The 24224-nt window shown below is 43.7% G+C and overlaps 1 protein-coding gene, 1 long non-coding RNA gene and 1 other non-coding gene across 15 annotated transcripts in view, besides 3 other annotated features; 2 read left to right on the forward strand and 1 right to left on the reverse strand.

The window, feature by feature from the left end:
- Positions 3522-3651: an enhancer, noted in NCBI's record as "active region_9964". NCBI's record gives its function as "activates an Ori minimal core promoter by ATAC-STARR-seq in GM12878 lymphoblastoid cells {active_cell/tissue: GM12878}" and the evidence as "EXISTENCE:reporter gene assay evidence [ECO:0000049][PMID:35858748]".
- Positions 3838-10480, forward strand: SNHG21 (small nucleolar RNA host gene 21). 5 transcript variants are annotated; one of them, NR_110097.1, is made up of 5 exons: positions 3838-4122; positions 7903-8058; positions 10004-10059; positions 10178-10213; positions 10320-10480. It is a non-coding gene; the product is annotated as a small nucleolar RNA host gene 21 (long non-coding RNA). The 5 variants fall into 5 exon arrangements; NR_110096.1 differs by having other exon boundaries at positions 10178-10480; NR_110098.1 differs by lacking the exon at positions 10004-10059 and having other exon boundaries at positions 10178-10480.
- Positions 3942-4011: an enhancer, noted in NCBI's record as "active region_9965". NCBI's record gives its function as "activates an Ori minimal core promoter by ATAC-STARR-seq in GM12878 lymphoblastoid cells {active_cell/tissue: GM12878}" and the evidence as "EXISTENCE:reporter gene assay evidence [ECO:0000049][PMID:35858748]".
- The window catches only part of FSD2 (fibronectin type III and SPRY domain containing 2), a 50708-nt gene continuing 35119 nt past the window's right edge, over positions 8636-24224 (reverse strand). For 5 of the 9 annotated variants that reach the window (NM_001007122.4, XM_011521235.4, XM_005272425.6 and 2 more), the window contains 6 exons: positions 23024-23158; positions 22154-22304; positions 19172-19305; positions 18440-18572; positions 15376-15552; positions 8636-12874 (listed from right to left, as the gene is read on the reverse strand). In NM_001007122.4, the coding sequence (NP_001007123.1) occupies positions 12622-12874; positions 15376-15552; positions 18440-18572; positions 19172-19305; positions 22154-22304; positions 23024-23158 (983 nt within the window). In that variant the 3' untranslated portion in view covers positions 8636-12621. Of the gene's footprint in view, positions 12875-15375; positions 15553-18439; positions 18573-19171; positions 19306-22153; positions 22305-23023; positions 23159-24224 lie in introns of those variants that run through there. The other 4 variants (NM_001281806.2, NM_001281805.2, XM_047432156.1 and 1 more) reach the window with 3 other exon arrangements.
- Positions 9219-9345, forward strand: SCARNA15 (small Cajal body-specific RNA 15). The gene has a single exon (NR_003011.1).
- Positions 16677-16877: a silencer, noted in NCBI's record as "peak2404 fragment used in MPRA reporter construct". NCBI's record gives its function as "represses an SCP1 promoter by STARR-seq MPRAs in K562 erythroleukemia cells {active_cell/tissue: K562}" and the evidence as "EXISTENCE:reporter gene assay evidence [ECO:0000049][PMID:32103011]".

Consider the following 24224-nt stretch of genomic DNA (forward strand, 5'->3'; position numbering starts at 1 on the left):
GTGTGCCTGTAGTCCCAGCTATTTGGGAGGCTGAGGTGGCAGAAATCACCTGAGCCCAGGAAGTCAAGGGTACAGGGAGCCAAGATCATGTCATTGCACTCCAGCCTGGGCAATGGGAGTGAGACACTGTCTCAAAAAAGAATAATAATAATCACGTTGAATATCAGTGGTTTAAATGCACCTAAAAGACAAAGATTGTCAGAGTAAATTAAAAAAAAAAACAAGATCCAACTATACATTGTGAACAAAATAACACACTTTAAAGACAAATACAGATTAAGAGGAAATGTGTAAAAAAGAGAAAGATATACCATGTTAACACTAATCAAAAGAAAGCAGTGGGATGTTCAGGCAGTCCATGTCAAGTAAAATAAATAAATAAATAAATAAAAGAAAGAGGCCGGGCATGGTGGCTCACGCCTGTAATCCCAGCACTTTGGGAGGCCGAGGCGGGCAGATCACGAGGTCAGGAGATCGAGACCATCCTGGCTAACACAGTGAAACCCCGTCTCTGCTAAACAAAATACAAAAAATTAGCCGGGCGTGGTGGCAGGCGCCTGTAGTCCCAGCTGCTCGGGAGGCTGAGGCAGGAGAATGGCGTGAACCTGGGAGGCGGAGCTTGCAGTGAGCCAGATCGTGCCACTGCACTCCAGCCTGGGTGACAGAGCGAGACTCCGTCTCAAAAAAGAAAGAAGGGGGGCGGGGAGAGAGAGAGAGAGAGAGAAAGAAAGCAGGAATAGCTATATTAATTTCAGACAGAGCAGAATTCAATGAAGGAAAAGTTATCAGGGATAGGCCGGCCACAGTGGGTCAGGCCTGTAATCTCAGCACTTTGGGAAGACAAGGCAGGTGAGTCACTTGAGCTCAGGAGTTCAAGACCAGCCTGGGCAACATGGTAAAACCCCATCTCTAACAAAAATACAAAAATTAGCCGAGCATGGTGGCGCATGCCTGTGGTGCCAGCTACTCGGGAGGCTGAGGTAGGGGGATCACCAGACCCCAGAAGTCAAGGCTGTAATGAGCCATGAGCTGTGATTGCACCACTGCATTCCAGCCTGAGCAATAGAGTAAGACACTGTCAAAAAAAAAAAAAAAAAGAGTTATCAGGGATAAAGAGAAGCATTATGTAATGATTAAGAAGTTATTTCTCCAAGAAGACATAACAGTCCTTAAAGTGTATGTGACTAGCAACATAATATCAAAATATGTGAGGTAAAAACTGATAGAACTGCAAAGAAAAACAGATGAATCCATTGTCATAGTTGGAGATTTCAACATATTGCTATCAGAAATAAACAGATCCAGCACAAAGAAAATCAGTAAAGACACAGTTGAACTCAACAACACCATCAATCAACTGAATAATATTGACATCTGTAGACGACTTCATTTAACAACAGCAAAATACACATTTTTCTTAAGCTCATAGGGAACATTCACTAGGAGAGACTACATTTTGGGCCATAAAATACACTTTAACCCACTTAGGAGAATAGAAATTATACAATGCCTGCTCTCAGACAACAATGGAATTTAACTAGAAATCAATAATGGAAAAATAACCTAGAAATCCCAAAATATTTGGAGATTAAACAATATACTTCTAATTTACATATGAGCCAAAGAAGAAATTTCAAGAGAAATTTAAAAATATTTTGAATTAAATGAAAGTGAAAATATAATCAAAATTTGTGGGAAGCAGTTAAAACAGTGATTAGAGGGAAATTAACACCATTGAATGCATATATTAGAAAAAATGAAAGATCTAAAATCAATTTTAGCTTTCACCTTAGGAAAACAGAAAAAGAAGAGTTAATTAAATACAAAGTAAGTAGAAGAAAACAAATAATAAAAATTAGAGCAGAAATCAATGAAATTTAAAACAGAAAATAGAGAAAATCATTGAAACCAAAAAGCTTGTTCTTGAAAAAGAGCAATAAAAGCAAAACACTTCTAGTAATCTAACTATAAAAACAATTGAGAAGGCATAAATTACTAATATTAGAAATGAAAGAGGGGAACATCACTACAGATCCCATGAAGATTAAAAGGGTGATAAAAACTCTATGCCCAAAAACAAAAACAAGAAAAAAACTCTACGCTCATAAATTTGATAGCCTAAATGAAATGGACCAATTTCTTGAAAGATACGATCTGGCAAAACTCACACAAGAAGAAACAATCTGAATAGGCCTATATCTATTTTTTAAATGGAATCAATAATTGATAACTTTCAGAAACAGAAAGTACCAGGTCCAGATGGTCTAACTGGTGAATTCTATGAAACATTTAAGGAAGAAATTATGCAAATTATCTATAGTCTCTTTCAAAAGATAGAAGTAGAGAGAATCTTTCGTAACTAATTTTTTTTTTTTTTGAGATGGATTTTCGCTCGTCACCCAGGTTGGAGTGCAACGGTGCCATCTCAGCTCACTGCAACCTCCACCTCCTGTGATCAAGCGATTCTCCTGCCTCAGCCTCCCAAGTAGCTGGAACTACAGGCACCTGTCACCACGCCCGGCTAATTTTTGTATTTTTAGTAGAGGCGGAGTCTCGCCATGTTGGCCAGGCTGGGCTCAAACTCCTGACCTCAGCTGATCCGCCCACCTCGGCCTCCCAAGGGGCTGGGACTACAGGCGTGAGCCACCACGCCCGGCCCCTACCCATCCTTTAAAGGGATACTCCGAATGTCTATGAACACTCAGATAAAACTGAACTAAATTTGAATCCACTTGTACTACATTTATTTGTCAACTCTTCGTTTGTCTACTTCTTGAGAACTTTAACAGCTGTACTGGGTTGGTTAGTGTCGCCCCCAAAATTCATGTCCTTCCTGGAACCTCAAAATGTGACCTTATTTGGAAAGAGTGTCATTGCAGATGTGATTAGTCATGATCAGGTCATACTGGAGTAAGGTGAGCCTTTTACCTAACAGGACTGGTGTCCTTATAAAACACACAGAGACAGAGACACACAGGGAGTATACCATTTGATAACAGAGGAAGAGAATGGAGTAATGCAGCTACAAGCGAAAGTACACCAATGATTGCTGGCTCCCACTAGAAGCTAGGAAGAGGCAGGAAGGATTCTATCCAGAGTCTCAGAAGAAGCAAGACCCCACTGACATCTTGATTTCTGACTTCCAGACTCCAGAAAGCGAGAAAATATATCTGTTGTTTTAAGCTATCCAGTGTGAGGTACTTGGTTATGGCAGCTTCAGAAAACTAATACAACAGCAATTTCAATTTCTACTTTATCTTCCTAGCCCCAAGAGTACCATGTGGCTATTAGAGTACAGGATTATGTAGGCTCTCAAATCCCTTCCATGGTAAAAGAATGATTGGGCTTCCAGCAGTGGCCAAGAATTGCCAGACGCTTATGAGCGCCTGCTGCGAGATGCTTGTACAGTGAATGCTCAATAAAGTGGTGGCCATTATAACCGCAAGCAATGAGACTACATAAATAGTAAGAAACGAAATAGAACAAGGGGCAGCGGGAGCAAAGAGAGAAACAAGGGCAGCTGAGGAAGGAAGCCTCAATTCCCCGGAGGACATCCGCGGGCGGAGGAAATGTGAATCTGCAAGTCGTTCTCCCAGACCCCGCTTAACGATTCCCGGCCCTTTCTCCACTCCCTACAGCCCTCGGACCCAGCAACAACCGGATCCTGTGCAGGTCTTCCCTGAGTCCAACGCGATTCTCCTGGATAACGTCAACCAGCTGAGCGATTCTGAGCCTGCGCGAAGCTCCTCGGCGCTTCCAGTAATGTCACGCTGGTGCGTGGGGCGGGACTTCCTCTCACGCGCAGGAAACGAGAAGGGCTTTTCCGCCGGAAAGAGAGTGGATTTACTAGGAAGGTGGGACGTTGGAGGGGTGGCCGCATGGAGTGAGTACTGTCTCTGGCCACCGAGCAGAGCCAGTGACAGCAGCGTCCTGGTAGGCAGGCAGGCGTATCAGGTTTCAGAGGATGCGGCTGGGAACGGGAGTAGAGGTGAGGGGTCGTTGCATCTGTCGCGGTGTGTATCTTTTGGGGGTTCAGCGCCACCAGCGACTTGGGCCTCATTCATCGCGCTTACATTTCTCCACCTCATTTGAAGAACGAGCTTCGTAGCCCACGGAGCTGAGGTTAGTATAAATGTGGAAGGGAGAAGTATGCACTCACCAGACTAAAGTTTACAGTTTTCACATAGGTTGTGCTGTTCTGTGTCCCATAAGGGCCTGCGAGAACCCAGACATTCTGAATCGGTGACGCCTGCTGGAGGCAGCAACACCTGTTGCATTAATTTTAGAACACACACACACGGAGTTGGTAATTCTTAAGCTTCCTGAATCTGCTGGCGGTCATTTGGTGTCAGAAGCAGAGCAAAGCCATCTTGGTCATCTCCCTCCTTTTAGCTTAAACCGAAGCATGATGGGGGAGATAGGCCGAAAGTTATACAGCTTGTTAATAACAGAGCCGAGAGTGAAAGCGCGATTTCTTCATTTTTAGCCCGGAATTATTTGTTGTACACCATACTGTTTCTTTGCATTGCTAGACAATTCGTCTTTTTTTACGAGGTTGACGGGGAGTTGCAAGGAGGAGTGAAAAGGGTGGTAATGTACATCTACATACAGTATAAATCCATGAAAGGCAAAATCCGTGTGTGTTAGGAGTTAGAACTGTGTCAGTCATCTACATCTTCCATAGTTTGTAGATGGAGATGAGTCTGTCACGTCGCTCTGTCATTTCCCTTTTAGCAACAGATGTGTAGTAACAATATGTGAAGAAGGAACTTTCATTGCCTGTTACATACATTTACACAGAGCGGCCTGGGGTTCACTGAGCAAGCTATGTGCTCACCCTAGAAAACTGATTCTGTAGAGTGCACTGCAGTCAAACCTCAGCTGTTTTAAGTAATCTTACATTTGGTGCTTGTGTGGCTTAAGTGTCTTGTGCATTATTGCAGTCATCTCTCTCATGTTATGAAATGGAAATGTGTTGTAGGAAAGTGGCAAGCCTGTGAAGAAAGTAAGTGAGCCTGAGGCCCAGAAAACCATACATTAGCAAATACTGAAAAACTGTTCACATCACATAGGGGGTATCTGAAGTACTGAGGAGCTCATTTAACCGGATGTTCATTGTGGGGAAGCCATGAATAGCCTCCCTCTCCTGGGTTCAAGCGATTTTCCTGCCTCAGCCTCCCGAGTAGCTGTGATTACAGGTCCATGCCACCATGCTCGGCTAATTTTTGTATTTTTAGTAGAGACAGGGGTCTCACCATGTTGGCCAGGCTGATCTCGAACTCCTGACCTCAGGTGATCCTCCCACCTTGGCCTCCCAAAGTGCTGGGATTACAGGTGTGAGCCACCGTGCCTGGCTCCTATATAAACAATTTTCAAACTTGTTGGTCTCAAGAGCCACTTAACAGTTATTGAAGACTCCAAAGAGCTTTTGTTCATATGAAAATAGTTTTGACTTCACTAACCCCCAGAAGGGCTTTCAGAAGCCCCCACAGAAACCAACTTTTAAGAACTACTTTATGCAGATGTTTCAAAGACATTTTAGATTATGTAGAGGAATGATTGCTGTTGTGATTGTGACATAAGCAGAAGTATCAACTTAAAAATGCAACAACAAGCACAGTAGCTTGTATTTCCAGTAGCTGTATAATTCCAGGCACAGAGAACACAAACAGATGTCCATTTTTAATTCTTTTCTTGTTTTTTTTGAGACAGGACCTCACTGTCACCCAGGCTGGAGTGCAGTGGTGCAATCACAGCTCACTGGCAGCCTCGACCTCCTGAGCTCAAGAGCTCCTCCACCTCAGCCTCCTGAGTAGCTGGGGCCACAGGTGTGTGCTACCACCCTGGCTAATTAAAAAAAAAAATGTTTTGTAGAGACAGTGTCTCTCTGTGTTGCTCAGACTGGTCTCAAACTCCTGAGCTCAAGCCATCCTCCCACCTTGGCCTCCTGAAGTGTTGGAATTACAGGCGTCAGCCACTGTGCCTGGCCTGTGATATTTTTCTATGCTTGGAAAGTTTATTAATCAGCTAGGATACTTCTCTACAAAAATACACATATATAACTTGAGATTTAAACTTTTCTCAGCCAGCTGTGGTGGTTCACACCTGTAATCTCAGCACTTTGGGAGGACAAGGTGGGTGGATCACTTGCGCTCAGGAGTTTGAGACCAGCCTGGGGCAACAGGGCAAAACCCCATCTCTACAAAACTGCACCCAGCTATTTTGTATTATTTTTATCTCGTTGCTTTTTTTTTTTTTCTTTTTCTTTCTTTCTTTTTTTTTTTTAGTGGTTTCAGGCAGTGGTTCAGACCAGCTGCTAGAGAATCATGGGCTAAGAAGAGAAGACTACCAATTTAGTAGATTTGGACATGGACAAGCCACAGGCAGTTTCTCTTCTCACTCTCTTGGCCAGTCATCTCTTGCTCACCTTCCCCTGCCAGTAGCCAGTAGCATGTGACAGCCTCTATATTCCATCTCCCTTTTCTCCCTCTTCCAGAACTAAGATGAGTTTTCAATGGATAACTGTACAGAAACATACCCACTGCTGAGTTTATAATAAATAGGTAAATGGTGTTTAAAATGCCTTCTGTAGGAATCCTTGGTAGATAGTTATATGTGGTTGTTTTTTGGGAAGTTGGCTTGAGGTTCTTTGAAGGGCTGGGAACGTGTATTTCTTTTGCGTGTGCCTGTGTGTGTCAAAATTTTATATGTTCATCAGTGCTCTACACGTTCAGAGAAACGTTTCCAATAACGAACCATAGAATGATCCCTGGAGCATAGGATCCCACTGTTTGAAAATTCTAGCCATCGATCACTTTATAAGAAAAGGATGAAATTTCAAACAAGGAGTTTGTTTATCTGATTTCCACCCTACAGATAATATATAAATTTGGCCAAAGTTGTTTGGGGAAGAGGGGCTGTTGTTAGGTACTGAGCTATAATACTTTGTTGCTTTGTATCACTTTTAAAAGTGACTTTTAAAGATACTTGACATTTGAAAAGGAATCACCTTTGATCTTTCTAAGTCCCTAATTTGACATTACCTTTATAGCATATAATTTATTCCATAAAGTCTTAGATCCTGAAACTAGTGGAAAGCCAAATACTCATGTTGTGCTATAAATATAGGATTGACAGTTAAGCTTACTCAGTAGTCAAGGGGGCGGCTTTCACTCACCAGCCTCCAGGGCATATGAACCAAATTTATGATTCAGAACATTTAAAATATACATTTTGAAGATCTTTGGGCTCTCTTAAGTATAGTCTAACTATAATAAATATTAAACATGTCAAAGGTCTCTTGCAGTGTTGGGAAGAGCATTCTAAACCACATACATCTTTCCCATCCCCAGATTGTTCTGTGTCCCCTCCCACTCTTCCCAGATTAGAAGTCACCATGGAGCACTATTAGTAATGGGACTCTGTATCAGATCTTTAAGGTGTATTGGGACAGAAGAAAGGTTGATATTTTGGGGTTGTTTGTTTTTTTTGAGACGGAGTTTTCACTCTTGTTGCCCAGGCTGGAGTGCTATGGCGTGATCTTGGCTCACTACAATCTCCGCCTCCCTGGTTCAAGCAATTCTCCTGCCTCAGCCTCCTGAGTAGCTGGGATTACATGCGCCCACCACCATGCCCGGCTAATTTTTGTATTTTTAGTAGAGACGGGGTTTCATCATGTTGGCTAGGCTGGTCTCGAACTCCTGACCTCAGGTGATCTGCCTGTCTTGGCCTCCCAAAATGTTGGGATTACAGGTGTGAGCCACCATGCCCAGCAGGTTCATATTTTTAATGTTTCCTTCTACTCCCCAAGCACACACAAATTTGAAAGCTGCTTTGCTTTCTAATAAAGAGGCTTTTCCTTTGATTTTGGAAGATAATTTGATGTCTCTTTTCTCTTTGCAGGTATATGAGCTCCCTGAAAGCACAAAGCAGTTATTTCCATCTTCAGATCATTCAGAGATTATGAAGGCACAAACCCTGCCTTCAATTTGCTTATAGTCAAGTGGAGCAGACACAAGTCAATGATTGCAGTATAGCCACTGAAGTAATCTAAAAGAGGTGAGTGTGGCACTTAACCTCTCCTGGGAGGGGGAGGAATAAGGCAGTGTTTCCAAGAGGTGATTTTGGAGCTATACAGGCATTAGGTAGACAAGGAAGGGGAGGTCCATTCTGGGTGCCTAGGACTCTGTGGCTGATTTATAAATCGTAAATGGTACAAAAAACAGTGTTGAGTATCTTTTACCTTTCTCCAGAGTACTGTTCTTACTTTTGGATAGTGCTTCTTGTTTTTTCCTTCCCTCTCCCTGTCCCTGTCACCTTTAAATTAAATGAATGTTTGGAAGGAAGTAGGAGGGTAAGAATCTTTCTGGGTGGCAGAATAATAGATGGGTCTACCAAGAGCGATGTATATACCCAGTAAAGCCATCTCTAAAACTGTGTTTCTGCATTGTTACAGTGCATAGTTGGGAAATCTCAGTTTTGTTGGCTGTGTACTTTCCCAGTGAATGGATTATATTCCTTTCTGCGAGCCAGTCTGTTTGAATTTAAGGGCATCTCTTAAATTCCTTTCAAGCAAGAGACCTAACATTTATACTTAGGAATGAGAGTAGTAGAGACAGCAAGATTAGAATCCAAGTTCATATACCAAAACATTTTTATTTGCTATGTCTGAGTGACTACATGTTGTTTGAATCAACTGCAGGCTAATTTGTAACATTTCAAATAAATGATAGTTTAATTCCTCCAGGATTTGAGTAAGGTGAAAATAGAGCTAAAAACCATGATTCTGTCACAGTCTGGGAAAATGAAAAAGCAATCAATTAGTGAGTTGGGCTTAATTTTTTTTTTTTTTTTTTCTGGAACTGGTGATAGCAGAAAACAAGCAGTAAAGTAGTCAGACATGATATACTTGACAAGAACCACCACCTGTTCAGTAGCAACTCTAAAATAAGTACTAACTTAGGGGCAGTTGTTGTGCCCAGGTCATAGTCATACTCCTTCCAGGAGACTTCCTGATGACAGAAAAGATGCTGACCAGCTGGGGTCTTCTTTCCAAATAACTTTTCTCTTGCATTTAGATTAATTAACCATTGGTTACAGTGAAACAAGCATATGTACAGAGTTAATCTCCTATAGCTTGAAGTTATACATGATCTTTATTTGAGTATCTTGACTTGTTAAAGGACAGTGTTTTAAAAGCTGGATTTGGTTATGTTCTTCTGGAGACTAAGAAAATAGAGTCCTTGAAATCAAGCTGACTCTGCTTTTAGCCTCCTAAATGAAAAGGTAGATAGAACAGGTCTTGTTTGCAAAATAAATTCAAGACCTACTTATCTACCAACAGCAATTACACGCTTTCCATTGTCTTCCTATAGAAAATAGGAGTAGTACACTTATAGATGAGAAAACTGGAGAAAGACATAGTGAACATGTGAGAATCTTGCTCTACTAATTGATAGGAAGGTGACTAGAAATTGGCGAAGTTTTCTTGGTAAGTTGAGGAGAGGACTTTTCTTATAGTGCAGTCTGGTAGCTGAACCGCCTTGCATCAAGACCAATGTAGTCTTATTTACAGAATGCCACATCACAGTGAATTGTGCTGTGGACAGCTTCCAGTGTGTGAGTTGTGGAAGATGATGATTTTAACAGATTTTGGAGGATGAGAAGTATTAAGAAGAAGGCCCCACTGTCCATGCATTTGCTCTGCTTTTTACTTTTGACCAAGTATACACTTCAGAAATATCTTATTGGATGTATACAAAGTGATTGTGTGTCATTTGAACCAGCAGGAAGTAATTTATTAAACACACTTTTCTAAATAAAAGTCATTTAATTTTATCAGAAATCAGTGTCATTTTAGATTGCAAGTCTCAAACCAACTTTCCAATTCTGACTTGTAAGGGTGCCTTAAATCCTGAATACTGTACTCTGTATTACTAAACCCATGTTAGTTTACGCCAAGATTCTGTGGTGGTTTTACATATTCTTTTTCCCCTTTGTTAAGGTGGGGAGGCCACAGCTTATGTGAATGACTTTCTCAGGAGTTATAAAGTGATACAGGTAAAGCTAAGAAAAGAACAGATTTTGATAACTTTTGTTTTAACTGTCCAGTGTTAGGGATTGTGGCTACAGTGGTCTAATTTTTAAAAACTCTTTTTTTTGCTTTGTTTTTTAACAGACTTATCAGCAGGTTGCAGGTGAACATGGCCTTGAGGTAAATCTGTCCCTTGCTGAATACAGTTTCAGTAGATTGTTTATAGTAGTTTCAGGAATTGAGATTTTTTACAAAAATACAAAAGTTTTGCTTGGTTCTGTTCTAGATGTTTTCTTCTAAATAAATGAGAAAGATGTTTCAACAAAGGCTCTTTATGCTGAATAATTGTGATGCTTGAAGTTGCTAATCTGCTTTAAGTGGATTTTAAATGTCAGGCAATTCTAGACAGTTTTTTCTTGGTCAAATAAAAATTTAATTAAAACTTTATACGTGTTGAGTTTTTAATCCATTTATCCGTGTTCATACTAACGTGTAGTATTCCATAAAGCCTATTAGAACCCTGAATTCAAACTTGCCTTCTCTGTGATATCCTGTTTCTTACTTGGTAGTTTCTATTTCAGTAGCTGAGAACTTTTTTTTTTTTTTTTTTTGAGATGGAGTCTTGATCTGTGAGCCATCTCGGCTCACTGCAAGCTCCACCTCCCGGGTTCACGCCATTCTCCTGCCTCAGCCTCCCGAGTAGCTGGGACTACAGGCGCCCGCCACCAGTCCCGGCTAATTTTTTTGTATTTTTAGTAGAGACGGGGTTTCACCGTATTAGCCAGGATGGTCTCGATCTCCTGACCTTGTGATCCATCCACCTTGGCCCCCCAAAGTGCTGGGATTACAGGCGTGAGCCACCGCGCCCGGCCGAGAACATTTTTAAATATACATGATATGTATCTTTTAATTGTTTATAACTGGAACTATTTCTGTGCTTACATCTGCTGTCCCTTGTTTCAGAGTAGACAGTCCAGCTTGGCAGGATAGGTGTGTGTGTGTATAACGAGTTATTAAATTGTCAGTGTGAATTGTTAATTCAGGAATCTGAGCTGCCATTTATACGAGTAGGCAGAGTTTAGTAGGAGATGAGAGTCTTTCAGTTTGTCAGACTTTGCAGGTGCTGGAAAACATCAGAGGTTTTTTGTTTGTTTGTTTGTTTGTTTTTGAGACAGAGTTGCGCTCTTGTTGCCAAGGCTGGAGTGCAGTGGCACAATCTCGGCTCACTGCAGCCTCTGCCCCCGGGTTCAAGCAATTCTCCTGCCTCAGCCTCCTGAGTAGCTGGGATTACAGGCGCCCACCACCATGCCCGGCTAATTTTTTGTATTTTTAGTAGAGACGGGGTTTCGCCAGAAAAAAGAAAAGTGGACTTTTTTTTTTTAAACACAAAACCTTAAATGATGAGATTAGGGCATATCTGGGTTTAGAGGCATCTGTGGGACATGATACTGAATTGTAATTGCTTCACAAATGGAATTATTCTGCAGCTTCACTCACAAGCTTTGAAAATGCTGTGTGTGCAGAGCTTAAGTGGCAACTGGAAACTTGAACAGGAGAACCAGGAATGTAGCTGATGGAGTTGGGCATTGAGCTCACAGAATGGCCTGGGGGCAGTGAGGCAGGATGCCTGAAAGCTGCCTAGCTAGAGATCAGTCTTCCTTCCCGTGCTCAGCTTTGCCCTTTGGTGGGCTGTTAATTTCTTTTAAAAAATTGTTGTGCATTTGCTAATATGCCACAGATGCCCTTCTGTTCTTTCACGCTGCCTCCATTCTAGGTTTTTTCCCATTTCTTGGCCATAGGTCCTTTGCTGTAGTTTTGAAAGAGCCCTGCCATCCTTCACATGGAGAGCAGTAAGAGGCCAAAGAGCAGTGGCTGAAGAAGATACTAATTTATTCAACAAATACTTGGTGACAGCTGTTATGTGTTAGCCCTTGGTGATCTAGCAATGAACAAAACAGGCACTGTCCCTCCCTTCATGGAATTAGGCATTATAGAGGTAATTTCAAAATTAGAGAGTGGTGCATACTGTGTAGGAGTGGAACAGGGAATACCCTGTATGCAGAGTACACAGTGGAAGGGACCTCACCACAGTGCTGCTCACTATTGGGAAAACGAGGGTAGAAGACATTGAGAAGGGCACACAGCTTCCCTGGTTCTCTACAGACAGCCTCTCGCCTTCTCAAGTGTATTCTTGGCTGACTCATGAAATGCATGGGTGTACTGGTGCTGCTGGAGCCATTAAGACTACCCTCGTCCTCTCCCAAGCTCTCTAGGTCTTGGAAACTCAAGATATTTTGCATATACACGAATATAGTTTGACAGCTTCAAAGACTTTTGAGTTCGTTTAGTCTGAGCCTTTATTTTACAGCTGGGCCTGGTAATGACTATCCTAGCAGCACACAGGTAGCAGCACACAGGACTAGAATCCAGGTTGGGTGAAATGAGCGCTAGCACACCAGTCAGATAATAGCATGAGCCATAAATTGTGCTGGGCACATGGTGCTTAAGTGCCAGGTTCAGCCAGCTAAGGCGTGAGCAGCTGCGAGAGGGGTAGGCATGGAAGACAGGAAACTGGACATCAGAATGTTCTAATAGAAAGTGACATGTTTTGGCATTGAAATGCCATTATGTACCTTTAGACACCCAGGCTTTTCCAAAGAAAAACAGGGATGCACAAATTCGTGAAGCTGACAACTAAATGTATATAGATGCTGAGAAAGGTCCACATTGAAAAATGACAACTTTGAATGTTCATAGTCTAATAGAATGCCAATCTTCTTTGGTGGAACTGTTATTCTTATATCTGGAGTTGTTCTGTTGTGCAGAAATTCATACTTATGCCTGAAAATTAAATTTGACATAATAAAGTTTCAGTAATTCTATAGATTGACTATTTATAGAACATTTCATACTAATTTTATTCATAGTCCTATGATTTTGCTATTTTCTAGTATTAAATGACTACCAAGGTGACAAGCCATTTCTAAAACTATACTCTCTAAACTATCTCTTTTCTAAAATTTGTCCTAAGAAACATTTTCTTTTTTTTTTTTAGATGGAGTCTTGCTCTGTCACCCAGGCTGGAGTGCAGTGGTGCAATCTCGGCTCACTGCAACCTCAGCCTCCTGGGTTCAAGCAATTCTCCCACCTTAGCCTCCTGAGTAGCTGGGATTACAGGCGTGCACCACCAAGCCCGGCTAATTTTTGTATTTTTAGTAGAGACAGGGTTTCACTGTGTTGCCCAGGCTGGTCTCGAACTCCTGAGCTCAGGCAGTCCACTTGCCTTGGCCTCCCAAAGTGCTGGGATTACAAGTGTGAGCCACTGCTTCTGGCCGAAACATTTTTCAAACATCATTTTTTCTCTAGCAACCTCTTAACCTAAGAAATTTACCTATAGCATCCTGAACTCTCTTTCATCTAAACTAGCATAGGAATAGAACATGTTTTTAAAATTTGGATTAGACATTTGAAACAGGGAACCTTGTGATTTTCCATGTGATAAAATGGGCTTCTTGGTATAAGCTCTTCTATGCACAGTTACTCCAGTTCTTAAACTTTCATATTGAGTGGGGAGCCAGTGGGCCTGTTACCAATCAATACTATATCACTATCCATGCTCTACATCCTGTGTACTTTGAAAAATGGCAGAAATGAAAACCTGTCACAGGAATTTCCTAACCCTGCTACCTACAGATATTTGAAGAGCTCTTTGTGTCAACAGGCTAGTCTAGGCTACTGGGATAAACACTTGGAATATGATCTAAACGTGTCAGAGGAAGCCTGCCTGTCTCTAGCCCATTTCACCTTAATTTAACTAAGCAGCTGCCAGAAGCTATGAGTCGTTTCTTCTACTTTCTATGCTACCACCAATAAAGTCTAATACTATGAGCCAAAAATGCAAGTCTGCTAGGAGACCTTATCCTAGGATACCTTACCTTCATTCTCCACTTGTAACGTGTGTGCACGTGTGTGCGTGCACGCACACACACACACACACACACCCTACATCTGTAAGAAACTGGCTTGGCTCTAGCACTTGGACTGTAGCTTTTGCCCTTCTTTTGTCATTCTTCTGTTTCCACCCCTCTTCTATTGTGTCTTCTTACCCCCTTTATTCTTCCCTCTACACGTGGACTTCTAGGCTTTCTTTATGCTCCCTTAGTTTTACTCTGCCCCTTGTTCTTGCCTTTCTAAAGAAGAGACTTTGCTCTTTAGTCTTACTTCAGGCAGAATCCCCAAATAAAGTATCTGCCTCAGTGTATAGTAATTCTTGGATTCCCCAAACTGGGTGTGAGGTTTAGTAGATTTCATTAGAGTCTTCATCTGTTATCGGAGGGGAAGTTGGTTTTCCCACTTATGCTTGGGCATGACACATAATGTGTAAATAACCATGATAGAGGATCATGGGCAGAGAGCATTGGATGAACATTAATAGGATTCATCAAATCAAGGAGGGTCAGAGGCCCCATTTTACAAGGTGTGATAGGAAAGCAGTGTGGGGTCTTGTTTTTCAGTTTTTGAGGTGAAGGAAGGTTGTAACCATGGCCTTCTAAGTCTGAAAGTGTATTCATTGGCCTGGGCTTCGTGAGACTTTTTTTCCCACTATATGGAACTACTCCATGTGTAAAGACAGAGTGCCCAGCAGCAGGAGCAAACCAGAATTAGCCATAACTACTAAGCCTCTTGCCCACATTTACTTAAAAAGATGGAACTGGGGCTTCAAAGCAAACTGTATTGGCTTAATACTAAAGGTGAACAGAAATGAAAAATCTATCACTTAAGTGGTTAGGAATGAAATCTTTGGAACCAGACTGCTTGAGTTTGAATCCAAGTTCCAAATCCATGTCGTTTGGATTATCTAATTGCTGTGAGGTGTGGTCTTCTTATTTTTATTCTTTTATTTTATTTTATTTTTTTATTTTATTATTTTTTTTTTTTTAGAGACGGGGTCTTGCTATGTTGCCCAAGCTGGCTTTGAAGTCCAGGGCTCAAACAATACTCCTACCTCACTCTCCTGAGTAGCTGGGACTACAGGTGCACACCACTGCACCCAGCATTCTGATTTTTCAAATGAGATAACACAATTGTGAGAAGTAAATGAGATAATGCATGTAAGAGTACTTGGCACATAATTCTCCATAAATTTTAGCTATTTTTAGTTGAAGAAAAGCTGCTCTTTCTCCTCTTACTTGGACTTTAGGGAAAGTGGCTGGCAGCAACTCCTGAAATATCTTAAAATATTTGTAAAATATAACGTGTGTCTTAATTATTGCTAGTGAAAAGGTCTTGCTGTAATCTTTCAAAAGCAAATTTTAATTGTGAGTATCCAGATTTTACTTTACCTTGATGATGCAAATGTGTGCCTCATGCACCAGGAGAGGCAATTTGCTCCCAGATCCTCCTGTTTACGGACATCTGCAAAGGCCACACCAACTCTGTAGTCCAAATGCTCATCCACCTCCACCTCCCAGTAATGGTGCCCTCGGACTGGAATTAGATTTCCCATGACAGCAACACACCTGGTTTTAGAAAGTGGAAGCATGTGTGATCTGGGGTGCCCCAAGCCTGGCTGTGCAGGTCAGTGATGCCAGTTGCTGGGATCAGTCAGTCGGTGGTCTACGAACGTGGTGGTAGGTGCTTCTGGACACTTAACTTGTAAAGTACCCTTAGCTCTCAAAGCTCAGTGGGCTGATACTGAAGATTTGAGATTATGTTACTGCTTGGTAATGGGAGAGGAGGAGGCACTAAACCAACAGAACAAGTTTTGTTTGCTCTTTAAAATGGTTGGGGCTTTCATAGAAAAAGGTTTGGTTCACTTGTTCATAAAAAAAGAAAAGGGTTGAAAATACACAACACAGCACGGTTAAGGGAACCATAAGCTTGAAGTTCACCACCATTGCTTATGGTACTAAATGAACATGGAAGGCCTTTGAGGTAGCCATCATGTTAGGGATGACTCCTGGTGGAATTCAGAGGCCAGCCCAAGGAGAACAAGATAGCAGATTCCTCACAGATCATTAAAATCTACCTCCACTGTTGCACTGGGAACAATTATACTGACAAAGATTAGAGTTATGTTTTGTTCTACATCAGCAAAGTATCAACAGAGGAAGGTTTTCAGTGAAAATCAAATTATACTGGTATCTCCAAAGTGAATATTCTACCTTCTTCAGGAGACTCCTACATTAACCAAAATATATATAGACCTCAACATCCCTAGAAAGATTTGTTCAGTTTAAAATTTTCTCTCTACTTTCAAAACCCCAAGTTCTTACTGCTCAAGCAAAGCTTTGGGAAGGAGGTTGCATGTTGGTTAACTTCTACCTCGGTTACCTCACCTATAAAATGAGGCCATCTCTGCTTCAAGCTCCAGACTCACATTTCCACTTGTTGTTTCAAATTCAGAATGTCCCAAATGGAAAAAGTCATATTCCCACCCCTCTTATCTACCAAAGTTTGGGGTGTAGTGGGGAGGGGTACATACTTCTCACATCTCCATTTTGGTTAATAGAGTCATTATCTACCCGGTAACCCCCTGGTGGAAAACTAAGATGGGAATAATGTAGTGGCTACAAGCTCACCTTCTAGTTTGATTCCTGCTTCAACCCTTAATAGCATTATACTCTTGGGCAAGTTACTTCTCTGTGTTTTAAGTATTCTCATCCGTCAACTGGGATTGGTAATAGTACAGGGCTGTTAGGATGATTGCATGAGATGAAATACATTTAGCACTTGGTAAGCACTCTATAAATATGGCAATATGATAGTCCCTGACTCATCTTCCTCTCTGTTGCCCTTTAAACAGGTGAGCACCTAGCCTTGTTGGTTTTATGTGCTCAACAGCAGTTGACTCCCCTGGCTCCTCTCACCCATGCTACTGCGTAGTCAAGCCCTCCATAGTCTCCTCTCTGGTCTCTGTTTCCCATCTGCCTTTGCCTTTCCCTCTCCCTCCCCAGCTCACGTTCTACCATGCACTGGAATCTTTCTGAAATGTAATCTGATCTTGTTCCCCTGCTTTAAATCCTCCAATAATTCTCACCACATAGAGGATAAAATCCTAACTTTTTGTGTGTATACTGGACTTTCTCCGACTTTCCTGCCTCATCTTCCACCTCTTCCCGTCATGGATCCTATACCGCAGACATACCAAATTCCTTATATTTCTCCAAACATGATCTTTCCGGCTTCTTTCATATGTACATGTACAAAGCAATTATCTGCCTTGAACTTTGGAACAGACTCACTCCATGGCCAGTTTTCCATCAGGAGTTTTGCTGTAAGGTACCACAGTGCAGGAGAGAGAGCACTGGGCTAACTGGTGGGAGACCTGGGTCCTTGTTTCTGTTCTCCCACTAGCCCACAGCATGACCCCTGTGAAGCAGGAGAACAGGGTCTGGGGGCAGGGAACCTAAGGACTTCCTAGAACTAAATTAAACGGAAAAACCCCAACCTTCTAAGTCCAAGTAAATAGCTTTGTATTTCAGCATGGCAGGAAACATCCTCTTCATTTGCATAGGGTGTACACCCAGTAAATGACTTTGTAACTTCACTTTAGCCACTTCATATACATAGGGTGTACACCAAGTAACCAGTGGGAACCTCTAGAGGATATTTAAACCCCAGAAAATTCTGTAACCCGGCCCTTAAGCCGCTTGCTTGGCCCACTCCCACCCTGTGGAGTGTGCTTTCGTTTTCAATAAATCTCTGCTCTTGTTGCTTCATTCTTTACTTGCTTTTTTTTTTTTTTTTTTTTGAGAAGGAGTCTCACTCTGTTGCCCAGGCTAGAGTGTAGTGGCGCCATCTCCGCCCCGCGGGTTCAAGCAATTCTTCTGCCTCAGCCTCCCGAGTAGCTGGGATTACAGGCACCCGCAACAGGCCCGGCTAATTTTTATATTTTTAGTAGAGATGGGGTTTCAGCATGTTGACCAAGCTGGTCTCAAACTCCTGACCTCAGGTGATCTGCCTGCCTCGGCTTCCCAAAGTGCTGTGATTACAGGCATGAGCCACCGTGCCTGGCCTCTTTCCTTGCTTTGTTTGTGCATTTTGTCCAATTCTTTGTTCAGAACGCCAAGAACTTGGACACCCTCCACTAGTAATTCCTGTCCCACCCTCATGACCTCTGGCTGCTCCAGCTCTGGCAGCCTAGGACCCAGGGACCATGCCCTCCCAGGGGACCGCGCCCTCTCCTGACCTCACCGTCCCAGGGGGCTCTTCTGCCTGCACCTGCCTGACCCCTCTTGCCCACACTCCTCTGGGTCCCCTCCCCATTAGGCTCCTCCCTCCTCACTCATTTGTAGGATTCCTTTTCCCTCGAGGCTGCCTCCGTGCCATATTCGGATTTGACCTGAATAACAGTGCACCTTCGGGAAGTTCACAGAACGCCCTTGTGAGCGGTTGACAAAGTACCTGGTGAAGTGAGTGTCGCTGGGTGACAGCTCCCTGGCGGGGGTTCTCCTTTCACTTCGTACAGCCGTAAGTCCGTCTTCAGAAATGGTCAGCCAGGGATGGCAAGTGTCCTTGTTTAGGCGAAAGTAGCTTCCTGTGGGAGGAGGAACACACAGAAGACCCGCAGCCAATCACTTGCTTTCTCCATGTGGGCGGTGGTCACCGGTTTAGCTTCGTGTGGGATACACCTAAGCCTGGACCTGGCCTAGTAATAGGCGTCCAGTTAACAAGGATGGCAATTGACACTCATCGGGCAGTCTTGTGTGCCTAGTATCCCCTTCAATCCTCACGACGACCCTTAGAAACAGGTGTCACTATTTCCATTTTGTAGATGAGGAAACAGAGGCACAAGGTGGTTAAGAAATCAGCTGGCAAATGATAGAACTTAAACTTGAACCCCAAGCCCCTCTGATTCCAGAGGCTGTGCTCTTTACCTCTAGCTGTAATGCCTGTGTATGGATAAGAATTTCTAACCTATTTGCCAAGGGAAATAGGAATTGAAGGACTTCTTAATGATCCATTTGACTTGCAATTAGGGCAGTATGGGACACCCCTGAACTCCTTCTGGCCTGACTTGCCACGTGTCCACATCTGTGCATATTCATCAATTTCCCAGTGAAGTCATAGCAGCACTGGGTCTGCCACAGAGTGGCCACTTTGGGTCCCAGAGACTTTGTGGGCTGGGGCACAGACCTATGGTGTGGACTGTAGCTGGCTCGCTCCTCACGCTGGGGCCCCCCATATTGAGGGCTCGCACATAGATAATGTAGCTCCGCCCCGGCTGCAGCTGCACCACGGACTCGCAGGTCGGGATGCCCACAACAGACCTGTACAAGGAAGCAGAGCTGCAGTCAGAATGGGGCTAGGACACCCAGGCCCAAGCACCAGGCATCCCTTTCAAAGCTGGAAGGTTTAACTCACTCTTGCGCTCCTGTCCTCTGACCCACATTTAACAGCAGCATAGCCAGGAGTGCTGGCTCCCCCTCTGCATTCCCTCCCACAGTCTCTGGTCTGCTTTTCTCACTTCATTGCTACTTCTTGTGTTTGTGGCTGTCTCCTCTCCAAGTCCCTCATTCTGGTTTCCCAGGCACCCAGCACTGTGCTTGGCATATGGTTAACACTGCATCATGGAGTGTGCATGCAGTAGAATCCAGTGTGTCTCTGTCCGTCTGTTAGGATCATAATGTCTCTGAGGTCAGGGGCTGAGTACCGCTATTCTTAGTACAGTACTGGGCCCATAGAAGGCCGTCAATTCAGCCAGGTGCAATGGCTCATGCCTGTAATTCCAGCACTTTGGGAGGCTGAGGCGGGTGGGTCACTTGAGGTCAGGAGTTCGAGATCAGCCTAGCCAACATGGTGAAACCCCGTCTCTACTAAAAATGCAAAAATTAACCGAGTGTGGTGGCAGGTGCCTGTAATTCCAGCTACTCAGGAGGCTGAGGCAGGAGAATTGCTTGAACCTGGGAGTTGGAGGTTGCAGTGAACCGAGATCATCACGCCACTGCACTCCTGGGCGACAGAGTGAGACTGTCTCAAAAAAAAAAAAAAAAAGGTCCTTGATTTATGTTTATGAGCAAACAATTCTGACTAGAGCTGAAAGTGTTAACTGCTGTTAACCCCCTAACAGCTGCCTATTGGAAATAATCCAATGTATTTAAATTGTACTATACAGAAATATAAGCTCATAATTGCCACTGTCTATATTGCTGCGGTTGCCAACCCCATGTCAGTCCAGTGGGCAAGAGAAGTCTTTAGGATGATGCCCATTTACCAATACAACACCCTCACCCAGATGAGGCCAAGTTGTCCAGGTTATCTTCAGGCTGCAGCTCTGGGCCAGAGGGGCACTTTTACTTATGCATTCAATAAATGTTAACTAAACTCCTTAGGTTCCAGGCACTGTATAGGGAGGCCCTCAGAAAAAACAAATGTAGTTCCTGCCCTCATAGAGCTTACAGTCTAGATGGGAAGAGCAGCATTCTTCAGGCAATCACTGGAAGGAATGTAAGATGGTAACCAAGACAAGTTGATAGTGTGCTGTAGTGTATAATGGTGGGGGCAGGATGGCTTTTGAGCAGAGCTCTGAAGAATGCTGAGGAGGTAACTGGATGAAAAAGGGACAGAGGAGTCTCCTACATAGGAGAAGCATGTGCCAAGGCCCTGTGGCAGGAAGGAGCATGAAAAGTAGGAGGAACTGAAACATGACCAATGTGGTGGGATCTTGAGAGGGAGGGGAGCTGGTGTGGGAGGAGCTGGAGAGGCAGGAAGGGGCCAGAGCCTGTGAAGGAGTTTTGCCTTTTCTTCAGCAATGGGTCGCCATGATTGGATTTGTACTGGAAGAATATGCACCAGCTCTCAGGTCATCTCTCAGGTTACTGACCAGCCCTCTGATGACCTCATCATTGTGAGTTGGTCCCAGGTGTCAAGTGCTCCTAAAGTATCAGCATAAATTGCAAAGGAAACCTGAACCATTAGGATGGCCAGAACCACTGGACACACTGCCCCACTCCTGAGTATCTCCAGAGTGGATTACCAAAGTCAGCCTCTGTGTGGCCATGGACACACAGATTCCACCTGGAACAGATGGATGGGTGGCATATGGCCACGTTTCAAGCCTGGCATTTAGCATAGAAGAATCTGCTTCCCTAACAATTGACACCAACACCTCTTCATTTCTCCAGCTCCAGGTCAGTGCACCCCTGTGTTCCACAGCAGGGGAGCCCCTGGTCCTGGTGGCTGGTGCTGGCCTGCCTGGGTGGTTCATCCCCTTTCACAAACTTCTGTAAACCAGAGGTAAACCTATGCTTCCTCCATCATAGGCTGCTGTAAACTCATAGGTTCTGCGAGCCCTTGTGGTCACTGAGTCCAACCCTTATCAATTTGTGAACCCCTCTAGCTCTCTGAGAATGAGGGGTGAACATGAGCTTCCAGACAGTCTTCTGTGATAGATGAAACATTCTTTGTACATTCAGCTGCAATCTCTTTTGTTTTCGCCTATGGCTTTCACCCTCACCTCTCTGAATTCTAGCTAGGTGGGTCTTTTAGTTCCTCCAGCAGCTCACTCCTGCCCCAGGGCCTGTGTTCATGCAGCCCCCTCCCCCCGAAGCACCCCTGCATTCGCTGTTCTTGGGGCTCAGTCTTTCCCATATGTTCAGGTCTCAGTTTAAACATCTTCTTTATCCAAAGTGGATCCTCACCTCCACCACCATTCTCTGTTTTATTACATTTCTTTTTCCTTCCTAGCACTGTATATTTTACACATTGGTTTGTTTTCTTGCCTTTTGTCTATTTTCCCACCAGACTGTCAGCCCCATTAGGGCAGGAAATTTGTCCATCTAGTTCCCAGTGCCTTGCACAGGACCTGACACCACCCAGGCACTCAATGCATGTTGAATGAATGAATGAATGAATGAATGAATGGGAAACCTTACTTGAGCTAAAACAACAACCACAACAACAACAAAACCTGAGGTTCAACCAACTTATTCATTCACTTGTCATTCACCTTCAGTAATAGCATTCCAGCTACTTCTCATGAACACTAAGCAACCAAAAATTGAGATTCCTGTGTATCAAAAATGCCAACCTTCTCTTCAGACTCCGTATACTTCCTAAGCCATGTCACTGTATCAGGTGTCAGGGCTCTCGTGCCCAGCAAATGCCCTCATGACTCACTCAGTTACACCCGAGGCTTCTGGACTTTCAGCCTGGGTCAGCTCCACAGTGTACGAGTCCACAGGATTCAGGTTCCCAGACTCCCAGCAAATCAGCACAGCCTCTTCACAGCTCCTTATCTCTTTGGTTTTAATAATGGGGGGAGAAGGTGCTAAATGTGGGAGAAAGGGAGAGATGAACAACTGTTGTGTTCATTTCCAGCTGTTTTGTTCAGAGCCATGGACAAACATCACAGCCACCTTCTTCCTCCCACAAAAGAGATTCAGTGCAATAAAAAGCAAACCAGGGAATCCCTTCCAGATGTTCCTGGAATAGAAGATGCTTGCAAGGTTTAAATGTCAGTGTGACCGAGAGTAGCAGTTTTTTATATTTTGAGACCAACCATCAGAAAATGTCACTGTCACTGTCGGCTGAGTGCAGTGGCTCACGCCTGTGATCCCAGCACTTTGGGAGGCCGAGGCGGGTGGATCACTTGAGGTCAGGAGTTCGAGACCAACCTGGCCAACATGGCGAAATGCCATCTCTTCTAAAAATACAAAAAAAAAAAAAATCAGATGTGGTGGCAGACACCTGTAATCCCAGCTACTTGGGAGGGTGAGGCAGGAGAATCACTTGAACCTAGGCGGCAGAGGTTGCAGTGAGCAGAGATCTTGCCACTACACTCCAGCCTGGGCGGGACTCATCTCAAAAAAAAAAAATGTCACTGTCAAACTAGGCATGTAGATTTTGTGTGTTAAATAAAAGAAAAAAATGTACACAGCTCTTCCTACCCTTCTGAATGAAATCAAGAGCCCTGCCATGTCTAGAAACCCATGACTCCTGTGTCCGCTTGAATGAAAGCCCTGCTATAGGAAATGAGTAGCCCATTACCTGTCATGTACACTGCACGCTCGCTAGAGGGGCTGGGGCCAGCCCTGTTGTGAGCTGTGACCCAAAATTCATACTGGGTATTTGGCACAAGGTTTGTCACTGAGCAATATGTTTCTTTGACAGTCACTGTAAACTCTGGGGAAAAAAAAAGATAAGAATTCAACCCTAAAAACTGGCCAAGTGGCTCCAATTCATTATGCCGAATCCCACAGTAGTAGATTACAAAACTGGCTATAAATTCCTCCCATCCCTGTATGCACTCCCTCTGCAGCATGACTTTGCTGCTCCTTCCATTCAGAGCTTCCTTCCTTCTCTCTATTCCTTGAAACTGGGCTTAGCTATGTGACTAGCTTTGGTCAATGGGGCAATAACAAACGATGCAAGCAGAGGCATGGAAGTGCTCGTGCACAGGGGCTAGCCCTCTTGCTGCTGGGGATGCTTCCACTACCACGTGAGCAAGCCCAAGCCAGCCTCCTGGAGGATGTGAGACCGCAGGGAGAGAGACCCCAGCTGCCCAAGTCCTCCCGGCTATCCTATCTGCGACAACAGTAAATGAGGCCATCCTAGACCAACCAGCCCTATCCAAGGTGGTTCAGAATAGAACTGTTTGGCCAGCCCACAGAATTACAAGAAATAATAGGGCCGGGCGCGGTAGCTCATGCCTATAGTCCCAGCACTTTGGGAGGCTGAGGCAGGTGAATCACTAGGTCAGGAGATCGAGACCATCCTGGCTAACACAGTGAAACCTCATCTCTACTAAAAATACAAAAAATTAGCTGGGCGTGGTGGCATTTGCCTGTAGTCCCAGCTACTCGGGAGGCCGAGGCAGGAGAATCACTTGAACCCGGGAAGTGGAGGTTGCAGTGAGCTGAGATAGTGCCACTACACTCCAGCCTGAGTGACAGAGCAAGACTCCATCTCAAAAAATAATAATAATAAATAAATAATAAATGTTTGTTATTTTAAGCCACTAAGTTGTAGGGGGTGGGGAGGGGGTTTGGTTATGCAGCAAAAACTAACACAACTCCAGACTTCCCCAGAATCTTGAAAGGCAGTGATAACTCCTTAATTTACGTTCGGATATCATTTCCTTTATAGTAAAAATGGTCAGTTTGAAAGATCTTTATAGATTGCCATGACACAGCCCCAATACAATGACTTCTGTGTATCTGCAGGGGGTGCTGACAGGGTTGATTTGTGG

The sequence above is a fragment of the Homo sapiens genome, chromosome 15 (genome assembly GCF_000001405.40).
Source record: "Homo sapiens chromosome 15, GRCh38.p14 Primary Assembly".
NCBI classification, from domain to species: domain Eukaryota; kingdom Metazoa; phylum Chordata; class Mammalia; order Primates; family Hominidae; genus Homo; species Homo sapiens.